This window comes from Homo sapiens, chromosome 12 (genome assembly GCF_000001405.40).
Source record: "Homo sapiens chromosome 12, GRCh38.p14 Primary Assembly".
In the NCBI taxonomy this organism is placed as follows: Eukaryota; Metazoa; Chordata; class Mammalia; order Primates; family Hominidae; genus Homo; species Homo sapiens.
The window spans coordinates 54,670,943-54,685,227 of NC_000012.12; the positions used below are offsets into that span (position 1 = coordinate 54,670,943).

Genomic DNA, 14,285 nt, shown 5'->3' on the forward strand with positions numbered 1-14,285 from the left:
AAACATTATCTTCCCTTTCTCCTCCAATACTCATATTTGAGTAATTTTTCATTTTATATCACTTTCTCTGGGAATCTTCTATCCTGAAAGTTTTGATTAGGCTTAGTTCTAATAGCTTCATTGCACCCTCTAATAGACTATTGTAGAACTTATTATTCTAAGATGTACTAAGAAATTTATTTTTCTGACCTTTCTCACTCTTGTTTCCTCCAACAAGACCAAGATTGTCTTGTTCAGTGTTGATTTCCTAGCATCTGGAACATGTCCGGCATAAGAAGCATTAAATATGTTTTTTTGTTGGATTGATTAAAATCTTTGTCTGAATCTTTGGTCCTAAAGCATAGTATAGAACTTTAGGAAGCTTAATTGGACTGCATGGGAAATACATTTTGTGTGGTTTAGAGTCCTAAATTGTGCCATTTGTTAAGATTAAATCTTGGAACTTGCCACTCAAGAAAGATGAAATTCACACCATCGGTGTCAAAGGAAAATGAGTCATAGAGAGGTTTTCATGTACACAGGCACATTTATTCTGCCCTGGTCCTCAACTAGAAAACATGGCCTAATGATGGTCTAGAATCTGACCAATCAACCAAGCATTTCCCCTCCTTCAAAATGAGTGAAGAGGGAGCTTCTTCCCCTAGAGACCAGTATAATAGTATAACTCAGTGGAGAAGGTTAATCAGTGAAACGGAGGACTAATATTTGAGCTCTGCTAATGCAATCCTGCTTGGGCAGCTTACTCACTTTGGATATATTCTTAACAAATACTCCCTACTTGAATAGTATGTTTATGAGTTGGGGAACTTGTAAAATTTTATATTTCACGTGGTGAAAGCAGGCAGTATAAAATACTTAACATGGATATTGAGTAGGGTAGGGTGGCCATATGTCCTGTTTTGTCTGGGACAGTCCCAGTTTAGGGCTGTTCCCCCTGCTCCCCAAGTGTCTGGTCTGGGTAAGCATGTGACCTGGATTTTTATATTTTAATGAAGTATTATTATTATTAATGGCTACATAAAAATAAACTGACACATTTTGGTAGACTTTCCCTTTGAATTTCTGCCATAGTCTGGTCTTGTAGTGAGAACTACTTTCACACATTTGGAATACAACTAGACTTAACTTTTCTTTCTTCTTCTTGTCTTTTCTAGGTGCAACTTGACTAACACCCCCCTTTCAAGAACAGCATGCAGGGCACTCCCTGATAAAAATAGTATATATATTGGGACAGTAAGAGACAGTGTTCACTTTCAGGTCTTGGAGGTGGTGGGAGAAGTATTTGATATTGCTCCCCTGTCAGCCACTTGGTGTGCCTTCCAGTTGTTCAATAGCCTGTTGAAATGAGCGGGGAAATGTTCAGTATATCAGGGCATAGGTTGATAGAGCCAGCGGGAAACTTGGGAAATTGTGCGAGATACGTGTAAAAAACAGGCTGATCAGTTACACGATAGACCTACAGAAAATAGCCTGCTTGTCCTTGCTACAGTAGTTTTGTCATCTATGATATGGTACAAATTTCACTTACTTATTTATTTTATTGTTTGGTATTGCTTTTTAAATTGTGAACACTTTTGGCAGCAATGAACTAAAACAAAAAAACAAAAATTAAGTACCAGTATTCATTTTTTAGAGAAAGCTGTTGATGCATATAAAACTTCTACAAAATGTTGATATTTACCATCCACTTTGGAGATCATAGTGCTATCACTGACCACATGAAAGCCAGAAAGCACAAGTTTGCTAAGGAAGTATTTAGTATCAACTCGCAGTTAGTAGTTATTTGAGAAGACAACGATTTAATACCTGCAGCTGCTGAAGCCACATTTTTGTATTACTCCACAGAAGCACAACTTTTTGCTTAGATCAGATGGATATTCTAAATAATTTTTACAATTTTGAATTTCTGAGTTTTCTTGAGCATGTATGAAATGTGAACTTATAGCTGTTAATTTATTAGCTCCATTAATAAATGAACTTTGCAAATAGTTAAAAAATGACGATTTTATATCAGTGTCCTCAAGTGTTTTAAGTAGAAAATCAGTTAATTCTAGTAATGATTCTATTTTTTTTTTTTTTTTGCAGCCAAGTCCTGGAATCAAAGTAAAGCTTTTGGAAGTTTATTTGACATTGTTGTTAATGCTATTTTAAAGTTAGTTAAAAGGTTTAATTTTGAAGACAAAATTATTTGTTTTTGTGGTGATAATATGAACAAGGTTTTTGGTATAACATAATGTGTGGTAAATATTTTAAAATAAAAAAATCAATGGAGTAGAAAGTACCTGTGCTGTGTACTTGTGGTACACACGCAATTTAGAATTGAGGCCACGTAAATGACAATATTCTACCGATCCAAATGTAGAGGGATAATTATCAAAATTTATAAATATATATGTGTATAATATGTATGCATGTATTATATATACATATATGTAAAGTGTGTCTATTTTATATGTTTTGTATATGTGTATGTGTGTATATATATGTAATTTGTGAGGAAGCTATCAGTCAACCTAAGTGTTTTACAATGATACTAGAGTTAAAAAAAATTAGCAGAATAATTATTGTTATATATTCATGGACGTTAATCTGTGAATTGTTGAGTGTATTTTGTTTAAGAATCATTGTAAATCTTTCATCAAAATATTCCAGTGCAGTGCTGAAAACTTCACCACTGGAATCTTTCAGTAAATTTCAATGATTGAAAACAAAGCTTGCAAACAAAAGGACGGTGAAATTTGTCTGCACAAAAGCAAGTGAACAACTGAACAAATTAAATGATGAGTACTCAAATAGTTTACAAGGTTTAATCTTGAGATTTTAGACTATCTCAACCTTGTGGGAAGAATCTTTTGATAGAGCTTCTATATTTAAATTAATATATTGATACTGTATTCTGGAACTGGGTGAAATTGAGGCCTGTGATTTTTCAGCATCTAAATCTGGTGAAACATTCAAAGAACCATAATCAAAGATAACTTACCAATTCATCTTGTCTTTTAAAAATATTTGTTAAGCAATGCTACTCTGAACAGGATAGAAAGACAGTATCTGTGAAAATATCTGGGCTAAAATCTTTACACATTTCAATGAGAAAAACTTAGACTAGAATATTCTTCCTGGCAGAATTTTTTGTTTACCATGTACTTCAGCAACTGTGTACAGAGTATTTTATCACCTAAAATATTCTGATCTGGAGAAAAGAGTTAATTGATGATGTCGACACGTTTAAATTTTTAAATCATAAAACACAACTTTGGCAAAGTTTATTGGCAATTTTAATAAAATATAAGACCAGGTGCAGTGGCTCACGCCTGTAATCCCAGCATTTTGGGAAGCCGAGGCAGAAGGATCATTGAGGCCAGAAGTTCGAGACCAGCCTTGGCAAGATGGCAAGATCCCTGTCTCTACAAAAAATTAAAAAAATTTCCTGGTGTGGGGGTGTGTTACCTGTAGTCCTAGCTACTTGGCGGGAAGATCCCTTGAGATCAGGAATTTGAGGTGGGACTGTGAGCTAAGATTGTGCCACTGCACTGCAGCCTGGGTGACAGAGCAAGACTCTGTTTCTTTTTTTTTTTCTTCTTTTTTCTTTTTTTTGAGATGGAGTCTTGTCCTGTTACCTGGGCTGGAGTGCAATGGCACGATATCAGCTCACTGCAACCTCCGCCTCCCAGGTTCAAGTGATTCTTCTGCCTCAGCCTCCTGTGTAGCTGGGATTACAGGCACCCACCACCATGCCCAGCTAATTTTTTGTATTTTTAGTAGAGACGGGGTTTCATCATGTTGGTCAGGCTGGTCTCTAATTCCTGACCTTGTGATCCCCCCGCCTTGGCCTCCCAAAGTGCTGGGATTACAGGTGTGAGCCACCGCGCCCGGTGGTTTCTTAAAAAAAAAAAAAGAAGAAAGAAAACCCAAGATCATATTGAAAAGAATGTTCTTCAGAATAAAACTGGTGACTTGGTGTTAGAGACAGACATGACTGAGAAACGGATTAAAATCTGTGAGTATATACCCAGAGTAATTATTCTACCGATGTTATTTTCTAATGTATGGTTTTGAAGCATGCTGTGTCTATTACATTACATTCTAGAAATTTCAACAATTGTACTTGAATTGTACTAAAATTTACACAAATATATTAAGTGATAATTATTCTGTTATTTTCTGTGTTCTCTCTCTAAAAGTGTTTGGAATTAATGGTCTTCTAGAAATAGTCCACCTAGGACTCTTTAGGTGAGAGATGTTTAGTCACATTGCCTGACAATTTCTGGGATCTCTAAGATATTATCCAGTCATCAGAATCAATACATCAGAATGTTTAATCCCTTGAAATGATTCTTTGTCAGAGATAGTCCACTCAGGTCCCTAAAACTACAGCACTTGGTGCTGGCCTTGTGGCTCCAGGGTGTATTGTCTGAATCTTACTGTTTAGAAAAGGAGGAAAACATCAGTGAAACTTCCAGTGACAAAAATATCCCTTTGTAGTCAGGTCTTACCCCTCTAAAGAGGGAGAAGCAGGATTTTTGGAACTTCTGTTGCCAGAATCTATGCTTTATAGAAATCAAAAGGGATGGAGAATTCAGAAACAAAGCTTCATTGCTCTATTTCACAAAGCATCAAGCAATAATCCCAACCTTTCCTGACTTTCTGAGTTTTTGGATCATAGTTTGAAGCATACACTAATCTTTCAGTGGACTCAAATATTTAAAACATTTGACTTATTTTTTAAGAATGATTTGGCTGTCATACACATTGTTAAAGTACCTGTAATCCCAGCACTTTGGGAGGCAGAGGCGGGTGGATCACCTGAGGTCAGGGGTTTGAGACCACCCTGGCCAACATGGTGAAACCTCGTCTCTACTAAAAATACAAAAAATTAGCCAGGTATGGCCAGGCACCGTGGCTCACACCTGTAATCCCAGCACTTTGGGAGGCTGAGGCAGGCAGATCACAAGGTCAGGAGATCGAGACCATCCTGGCTAAACAGGGTGAAACCCCTACTAAAAATACAAAAAAATTAGCCAGGAGTGGTGGCTGGCACCTGTAGACCTAGCTACTTGGGAGGCTGAGGCAGGAGAATGGTGGGAACCCGGGAGGTGGAGCTTGCAGTGAGCAGAGATTGTGCCACTGCACACCAGCCTGGGCGACAGAGCGAGACTCTGTTTCAAAAAAAAAAAAAAAAAAAATTAGCCAGGTGTGGTGGTGGGTGCCTGTAGTCCCAGCTACTTGGGAGGCTAAGGCATGCGAACTGCTTGAACCGGGAGGTGGAGGTTGCTGTGAACCAAGATCATGCCACTGCACTCCTGCCTTGGCAACAGTGCAAGACTCCATCTTGAAAAACAACAACAACAAAACAAAACCAATCAACCAAACAAACAAAACCCAAATTGTTAAAGTATCATATGAAGACCTTCGGCAAGGCTGAGACCTCCCTAGAGAGTGGGTCTGCAATAATCTGGGAAGCATACAAAGGATGGTTCATGGACACTCAGGGTATGGGAGATGGTCCAGTGTTGTTGTCATGGATATTTTTTAAAAATGCAGTTTGTGTAAAATTGGTCATATATTAGTTTAAATGAAAAGAAGTCTGTCACAGAGTCCTTAAGCACATACATAACTGTCCCACTCCTGCCTTCTTGGTGTCTGTACTTCTTCAACTGGCCATTGTTGGAGAAAATAATATGCTAGTTGGTCTTAGTTTAAATTGATTACTACAAATCTACACTGGGCACTTATCATTGCCTATCAGTTCTACAACACTTCTCTAGTCAACATGTCTCTCTACTCGGCGGATGGATGAGAAACCTGAAAGGTCCACCAAAAAAAAACAAAAACAAAAACAAAAACCTGTTAGAGGCTGGGCATGGTGGCTTATGCCTGTAATCTCAGCACGCTGGGATGCCGAGGCAATTGGATCATGAGGTCAGGAGATTGAGACCATCCTGGCCAGCGTGGTGAAACTCCGTGTCTACTAAGAATGCAAAAATCAGCTGGGCATGGTGGTGCCTGCTTATAATCCTGGCTACTCAGAAGGCTGAGGCAGGAGAATCTCTTGAATCAGGGAGTCAGAGGTTGCAGTGAGCTGAGATCACGCCACTGTACTCCACGCTGGTGACAGAGCAAGACTCCATCTAAAAAAAAAAAAACCTGTTAGAACTAATAAACAAATTTAGTAAAGTTGCAGGATACAAAAATGACCACACCAAAATCAGTTTCCTTTCTATACACTAACAATGAACTATCAAAAAAGGAAATTAAGAAATCAATCTCATTTATGATATTGCCTAAAACAATAAAATAATATAAAGGAAAGTCTCTCCAACAAACGGTGTGAAAAACTGGATAAATAAGTGCAAAAGAATGATATTGGATCCTTATTTTACATCATTCACAAAAATCTCCTAGACTGGATTAAAGATTTAAATGTAAGACCCCAAAACTATAAGGCTCCTAGAAGACAACACAGGGAAAAAGCTTCTTGGTATTAGTCTTGGCAATGGTTTATTGGATTTGACACCAAAAGTGCAGTCAGCAAAAGTAAAAAATAGACAAGTGGGGCTATATCAAACTAAAAAGCTGCTGCACAGCAAAGTAAACAACCAACAGAGTAAAACAGCAACCTATGGTATGGAAGAGAATATTTGCAAACCATATACCTAGTAAGAGGTTAACATCCAAAATATATAAGGAACTCCTACACCTCAATAGCAGGAAAACAAAGCCCTATTAAAAAATGGGCAAAAGACTTGAATAGACATATCTTCAAAGAAGACATACAAACGGTCAAGAGTTGTATGAAAAGGTGCTCTAATTATCAGGGAAATGAAAGTCAGAACCACAATGAGCTATCACCTCACACCTGTTAGGATGCCTGCCAGAATGGTTTTTAAAATGCAAATATGATCCTGTCACTCCTTGCTTAAAACCTTCCAAAGCCTCCTAATTGCTCTTAGGGATAAAACTCTGATATTTAGCAGAGCAAACATGACCTTTCCTGATTTAGCCCCACCTAGGTTTTAGTTTTTTTTCCTCTCCTCAATCCCTCATTTGGACTTCATGCCTTTGATACAAGAATTTTTTTGAAAATTTCTCAGTGGATCAAGTTTTTCATTAGTTAATAACTTTTCCCGTGTTGCTGCTCTGAGAACCTTTGTCTTATTTTCGCAGTGTGTCTAAATCTACTCATCGTTTATGCCTCAAATTGGGAATCTCTTTCTACCTACAGCTTTTTCTGAAGTTCTCTGAATTCCCCCAATCCTTTCCAGCGTGGGCAAACAGTATTGGCTGTGGGCTTCCCTGGCACGCTGTGGAGGTGCTGTGTGAGGTTCTCTAGGACAGGCCTCATGGGAAGTGTCAGAAGCAGGGTTAAGACACCTTGCCTGGCTTGTTGGTGAGCAGGCCTGCCCTATCTCAAAGGCTGCTTCTTGTAGGGGTTGGGAGATAGGGAGGAAGTTCCAGTAGGTTTGCAGGAGACACTGAACTCAACACGAAGTGGAAATAAAGTGATCGGGAATTGCAGGGCCTAGGAGTCAGCCGGTCCTCTAATTAAGAATGTTCAGGAGGAGATTCCTGGCAGTGTTGGGGTAGAATGGGGTGGAGGAGATAGCAGGAGATGGGACAGGATTTCTAGACTTGGGCCCCATTTATCCATTAGGTAATTTTTGTTTTCAGGCACTGATTATGGAGGGGGAAATGTGTAGATTCCTATTCTTAAAGGATTCATAGTCAGCATTAAAATTGATATAAAGAATTTGTGATTGCTCTGGATTCTTAATGGGGGATCTCCCAAAAGAGAGAGAATGAGGGTCTGATGTACTTTAGGGTCAGTGTGTAAAGGGCATGTGCTGGATAAATATTCAGAGGTGCCGTGGACTTTGGAGTTACTTACATGAGAGAAGTAGGGGAAATGGGTAGGTCCTGCATGTCTGAGGGCTTGAGTCTGGGAAACACTGGTGTGTGTGAGTGTGTGTGTGTTCGTATGTGTGAATGTGTGTGTCTGTGTGTGTATGTGTATGGATGGGTGGGCAAAGAGAAAAGCTCTGAACCCAGGACCCCAATAATCTCCAGCAGCAGAGCCTTAGAACAAACCATTGCAAACTTTGGAACTGCGTGTCTTTTCTAAGAGGAAATCAGATATCTGACAGTAACACCAAAACTGCCACAAAGCAGGGTCTTTCTAAACATCATTACTTATCATTTGCCCAGTCCTCTTGTTGCCTCATTCCTGACTTCAAGAGTTAATGGTAAACCATTTACAGAAATGGAGATTTGAGACATAGGGGCATGTATTCTGTGGCATTTTCCCCCATTATATACATTAGGTCTCAGATGCAATGTCATTTTAAAATGTAAGGGAAAGGAAGAAATTGAATGTGCCTGTTAGGTGGATACTCTTTGGAGCCTGTCAGAAAGAAGACTCCTCCCCTCTCGTGTGGCCTGTTGAAAGCCTCTTCTCCACTAAGCCATCTTAGAGCTGATAAATAGCCATCTATTTGCAAAGTTGGATATCCTCAACCCGTTAGACTTTCCTGAACAACTTTACCCATTCTTCTGCCTTCTCCCATGCAGACCTTGCCTGGGAGTGGGAGGAGTAAGAGACTCCAAAAAGGAGAAAATGACTCCGACTCATTGAGGTCCAGATGTAGACAGGTTGTGTCTATGAGGGCCATCTTAGCATGACTGCTGTGATTGATGTGACTGGTCTCTGCCAAGCTGCTTCACTCCCCTGACACCCTTGGCTCCTCAACTTGGCCTCGTAGGGGATAGGTAACTGGAAGGCAATGGAGCTGAATTTTTACTAGATGCCTCAGAAGATCCTTCAAGAGTCAACATGGGCAAATCTTGGTCTTTTGTGGGTTGACTTGATTTTTGTAAACAGCTGTAACTAGTTTGTGGAGCAGTTTGAACTTGGTGTGGTAAATATATCATTGTTTTATTTTTCCTGCAATCATTGCCTCCAGGTATGCTCTGTCAAATCTTCCTTTCCTGTTTTTTAATGGCACACTGGGAAGATCCCATGACTTTCTAGTCATTTGGTTATTAAGGTCTATTCTTGAAACTTTACTATCAAGCTCATTATAAACCTCATCTTCTTTCCTCCTCCCAACACAGGCTAGACAAGTGGCAGGTGTGTGGTCTGGTTCTCGGATACCTAGTATCTGCTAGACAAATGAAGTCCCAGCTACATTTTCTGTTCAACTCTACCTAACGCTGTTTCCTGTAGCTCCCCCTCCAGCTGTTGGGCACTGGAGTCAGAGAAATTAGTTTAGTAAGATTCCCTGCCTCAAAAACTTTACAGCCTAGGAATGAAACTGAACTTAATGTAAGAATTTGAGATCAATGTAACCTGTGCTAAGAAGCCCCTAGAAGAGAGGGACAGTAGTTTAGGAATGTGGGGCTAGAGAAAAGGGTATGTGTTGAATAAACACAGCAGTTTATTCAACTGTAAGGACAAGATCAGCTATTCAACTGTAAGGACAAGATCTGGCTCCTGGCTGAACGTGGGGATTATGGGTGAGGGAGAGGGTGGCATGCCCACGGGATTCAGTGTGAGTGGCTAGCAGGGTAGCATGATCTTGGCAGGAATGGAGGAATCCGAGGTGTAGTGGAGGTGGGGTGTGTGCATGCACTGGTGAGTGCACCACTACAGGCAGAGGTGGGTACTGCATTCTCAGTCTCCAAAGTCAGTCTTGTTAGATCCCTGAAAACACAATAGGGCAAGTCCTACTGAGCATGAGCCTTTTCTCAGATGGAAATTAGCCCTCAGAGTTCCCAACTCAGAACTTGCAGCAAGAAATTACCTCTCCAGCTCCAGCCCTGCTTGCCTTTCTCTCCTCCTAAAGCCGAGGAATTGAAGGGGAATGAGCTTAACAGGAATGAAGGGGAAGGGGCAGGGGGCTGTTTGGTCAAGACTTTTTCATTAATTTAAAAAAGGTGGCCCAAGTTCAATATCAGTCCCAAATGGGGTAAGAGGTACAGGCATAGGATGAAATGGTTAAAAACATACCCTTTTGTTGGCCAGGCTGGTCTTGAACTCCTGATCTCAGGTGATCCGCCCGCCTCAGCCTCTCAAAGTGCTGGAACCCTGTCTCTACCAAAAATACAAAAATTTAGCCAGGCATGGTGGCATGTGCCTATAATCCCAGCTATTTGGGAGGCTGAGGCAGGAGAATTGCTTGATTCTGGGAGGCGGAGGTTGCAGTGAGCTGAGACCACACCACTGCACTCCAGTCTGGGTGACAGAATGAGACTCCTTCTCAAAAACAAAACAAAACAAAACCAAAAACCAAAAACCAACCAACCAAACAAAAAACCAAACACACACACACACACACACACACACACACACACACACAAAAGAACAACAACAAAAACATGCCCCTTTGTGAGTAACGGGGCTGGGAGGCTGCCCTCAGAGGAGGACTGGTGGAAGATCCGATGGTTACATGCCTCACTGCCCCTGTGTCCTGCATATCCTTTCTCTAGTCCTTTTACTGCATGCAAGGACTTGTCCTGGACAGCAGAGGGTAGAGAATGTGGAATCCTGTAGGAGAGAATGACCTAGATCCTTCTAGAAGCTCCTCATCTGATGGAGGAGACACTTTGCATATCCAAGACACAGATATTAATTGTTATTACACGAGCCATCTCATACCCAGCACTTTGACTTCACGGTCTTTCTATCAAGCACCTGTAGGCACTGCAGTGGAGGCTGTTTCCCTGATTGGATGCAAGCCAACCAGTCACCTTGGTCAAGGTCACTGGGTATGACCAGAAGGCAAAGAGGCTGAATTTTATATGCACTTACCAGAAAAACACCTTAGATAAATGTCTTAGGCTTTCAATTGTCTTGGAGTAACACATTATGGACCTATAAAGTCTGAGTTGATGTTTGGAAACAGTCAAATGGCATTGCCATTTAATGGTAAGGAATAAGAGGAGAGAGATTTAAATTGAAAACAGGGCTTGGCTACACCATGCAAGCCTTTCTGGTTTGCATGGCCTGCTAAAAAGGTTCTAAAAGTTATTATAAAAGGGAGGTCCTACAAATATTTTTGGAGCAATGGCTGCTTTTTTGGAACAAGTGCTTTACCTCTTAGAGTGACTAGTTTGAGGAGGATAATGGCCACTTAGGAGTTCTGGTTTATTTGTGACAAAGCTGTGCTTCTCACCTTGCCATCTCATGTCTTGGACTTGGCTTTAGCAAAGCCACTGACATATTTAGTGAAAGCTAAACTTCCTTGTCCCAGAGGGATGGGGAGCTGAGGCATCATTAGATCCTGGGAAATTCTGAGGGAGGCAATGAATTTTAGGGGGCTTCCTGAAAGAAGAAACCTGTGTGGCAGCAATGGATATGAGGGCAGGTAGAAGTGCGGGCCTCTGGAAAACACTGCTCATTGTGAGTCTTGGATGTAGAAGGGGAAGGGCAAAGCCAGGATAAATAGGCTTAGTGGTATTGATTTTAAGTGAAGAACAACATAGATGTGAGGTGGAAGGAGTCGTCTAAAGAGTGGGATGGTTTATTTTATGGGAGGCTGTTATAAGACAGAGTCCTAAACAGGAGAAAAGAGTCACCTGTTTGCTCTGTCTTTATCTACTTTTGGCAATTGGAGACAGTTCCAAAGAACTGATGGGCCTGAGTTAGGTCTGGGTCCTTGCCAACCTCCCGTCCTCCTGACCCACCCCTTAATACCTGGGGGCACCAGGGATTCAAGCCCAGATACAGGAGTTGCCAATTCCGTTATGGAAATGACTTGGACAGGTACAATTTTTATGTTCCTGTTAGTTCACTTGTGAGCTGGGGTTGGGGAAAAAAGAATTGCCCAGTGGGGTATGAAGGACACAAGAGTTCCTATTCCCTGCTGAGATTCCAGGAACTCAGGAGGTCATTGTGTCCTGAAATGTCCTAAATGGCCACAATCCCTGCTGGGTTCCCTCTGGTTTTCTCTTGAGTTGGATTCCATTCCCTCCCACTCTTCCTCTCCTGAGGGAGTCACAAGGAATGGGCCAGCTGGATGTATGGAGGGATTCAGCTTCATTCATGATTCAGAGATAGAGGGGTGGGGGCTTAGGTGGATATCATTCCATCCACACCTATTAGACAGCCCAGAGGAGGGAAGGAATGTGCCTGTCTGCTGTGTAGCAGAGTGTGTTGTGCACAGTGGAGCTGGGTGAGTTCTTTACTCTGGCTTTACGTCTTGCTGTAAGTGCGTAGCTTTTCTGTAAAGGTGTATGCTATGGCTGTATATTTATAATGTATCTATCTCAAGTCTGGGAGTCTCCTTGTCCTCTAATCTTCTTTAATCTCTCTTTTTAATACATGAAAAATCACATACAGGAGAAGACCAGCCCACTCTTCCCAAATATCTGCAGATCCCTGGGGGGCTTTTGAATGATCATCTCTCCCTATGATTTCCTCTTCCTGCACCACTGCTATTCTCATTGGTACCTTGTTCTCTGCAGCTATTCTGTCAGCTTTGAATCCCCACTGCCCCCATACCAGACTTAGTCTCCTTTCTCTGAGTCCCCCCTGTTGTGGGAGACAAGTTCTTGCTGAAGGCTTGGGTTGACATCACAGCATGACAAACAGTTTTGTATTGACTATTAATCACTCACAGCCTAAGTTTATTGGCCATGGCTGACAGAATTTCTCACTATCCAACCTCCTCTCAGGCCTCGTCCTCCCACGAGGCTTCTCTCCCTGGACTGTCTCCTGGCTATTGTCTCTCACCTCTGGCCCCTTTTGTAATTTCTTTCACTTTTTGAGGACACTCATTCATTTACAAAACAAGTATTTATTGAGTGCTTACCACCTGCCAGGCACTGGTCTGCACACCAGTTAGTTTAGTTTTCCTGTCTCCTGTTGCCTAGGAGAACCTTAGTCCTCTCCAGCAAAGACCATTCAGAGGTGCTCAGGATGTATTTGTAAGAAAAAAAAAAGACAGAAAGAAAGAAAAACAAAGACAAAGCCCCCCAAAAAACAAAATAATGAAAAACATCTGTCCCTGGATGAAAGCTGTCAATCTCCTACATGACAGGAGGTCTGTAGTCAGTTATTTTTGTCATGGTTTTTTAAAGTCTCTAGAGTCTATAATTAAGATGGAGGTACTAGGGGTAGTGAGAGAGAGAGAGAGAGTGTGTGTGTGTGTGTGTGTGTGTGTAAGGACTGGGAGAATAGGCAGGGTCCCACTGAAGGGTGAGGTGATTCCCTGGTAGTGGTCGATAGCATTTGTTCATAGCAAGATCTGAAACTGACCGTAGGCTCCCGTCCTCATCTCTCCCCAGCCCCTGGTGTGCTCTTAGCCCTCTGGCTGACTGCCTGCCCAGGACCGGTGCTGTGGGTCCAGTGCTGCACAGCTGATCTTATGGGGGGTGGTAAGGTGGTCTATTAACTGTCACAGGGGAGTAGACTGTGCATTGACAAGCTCCTGGGTGGTGAACGGGAGCTCCCAGGTAGGGAGCAAAGCGAAGTCAGGGAGGTTTCTGCCCATCCTTTCAGGGGAGCTTGGGAACAGCGATTTTGGGAGGCAGGAAGTAGAATGGAGCTGTGGCTGTGAGCTCAGCATGGTTAGGCTAGGACCCTATGGGAGAGGCAACATAACAGGCTCTAGGGTTAGGGTCCCCAGGTTTGAATTCCAGCCCTGCCCCTAATTTCCCAAGTGACCTTTAGGATTTCCTGGGCGCTTGTGTCTGAGAGATGGGCGTGGCAGGGTTCCTACCGTCTAGTTCCGATTAAAGTTAAGTAAAAGAATTGGAGGTTAATTAGCTTGTATCATAAGGGGGAAGAATAGAAGGAGGAGATTGAGAGAGATTAAGGGTCTGATATTGTTCAGGGACAATGGGTATGGAGAGGAGGGGAGGCATTAGATGTAAACACTGCAGTGTCAGCCAGGACAGGATGTGGCATCTGCCTGGGAGGCAGGGAGAGGGAGAGGGGCTGGCAGCCTGAGGGTTTCAGTGTAAGAGTGTATGAGGGGTGTGAGGTGTGTGCATGTGCTGTGTCCGAGGATGTGTACACATGTGTGTATGTGTTGGGTCTGTGTGTTTGGTATATGTATGTTGTGTATCTATTTTGCCTGTGTGTGCACATGTTGTATGTATGATTCACTTTAATTTTAATTTTCCAGGGCTAGCTTTGGGAGAAGTGTCCCAAGCAGCAGGAATGTGAACAGGTGAGGCTTCCAGCCCACAGGAGCCTGCAGAGAGTGTGCGAGACTGAATTGGAAGGATGCCCACAGTGTGGTTTTCTGTGCCTCTGTTGCCTTCTCAAGTCTCCTGAGTGACAT

General features: G+C 42.0%; 2 annotated features.

Moving 5' to 3' along the window:
* Window positions 11,960-12,629: an enhancer, noted in NCBI's record as "OCT4-NANOG-H3K27ac hESC enhancer chr12:55076686-55077355 (GRCh37/hg19 assembly coordinates)". NCBI's record gives its function as "activates a minimal SCP1, AML or CMV promoter by ChIP-STARR-seq in primed H9 embryonic stem cells {active_cell/tissue: H9 hESC(primed)}" and the evidence as "EXISTENCE:reporter gene assay evidence [ECO:0000049][PMID:30033119]".
* Window positions 12,630-13,300: an enhancer, noted in NCBI's record as "OCT4-NANOG-H3K27ac-H3K4me1 hESC enhancer chr12:55077356-55078026 (GRCh37/hg19 assembly coordinates)". NCBI's record gives its function as "activates a minimal SCP1, AML or CMV promoter by ChIP-STARR-seq in naive and primed H9 embryonic stem cells {active_cell/tissue: H9 hESC(naive and primed)}" and the evidence as "EXISTENCE:reporter gene assay evidence [ECO:0000049][PMID:30033119]".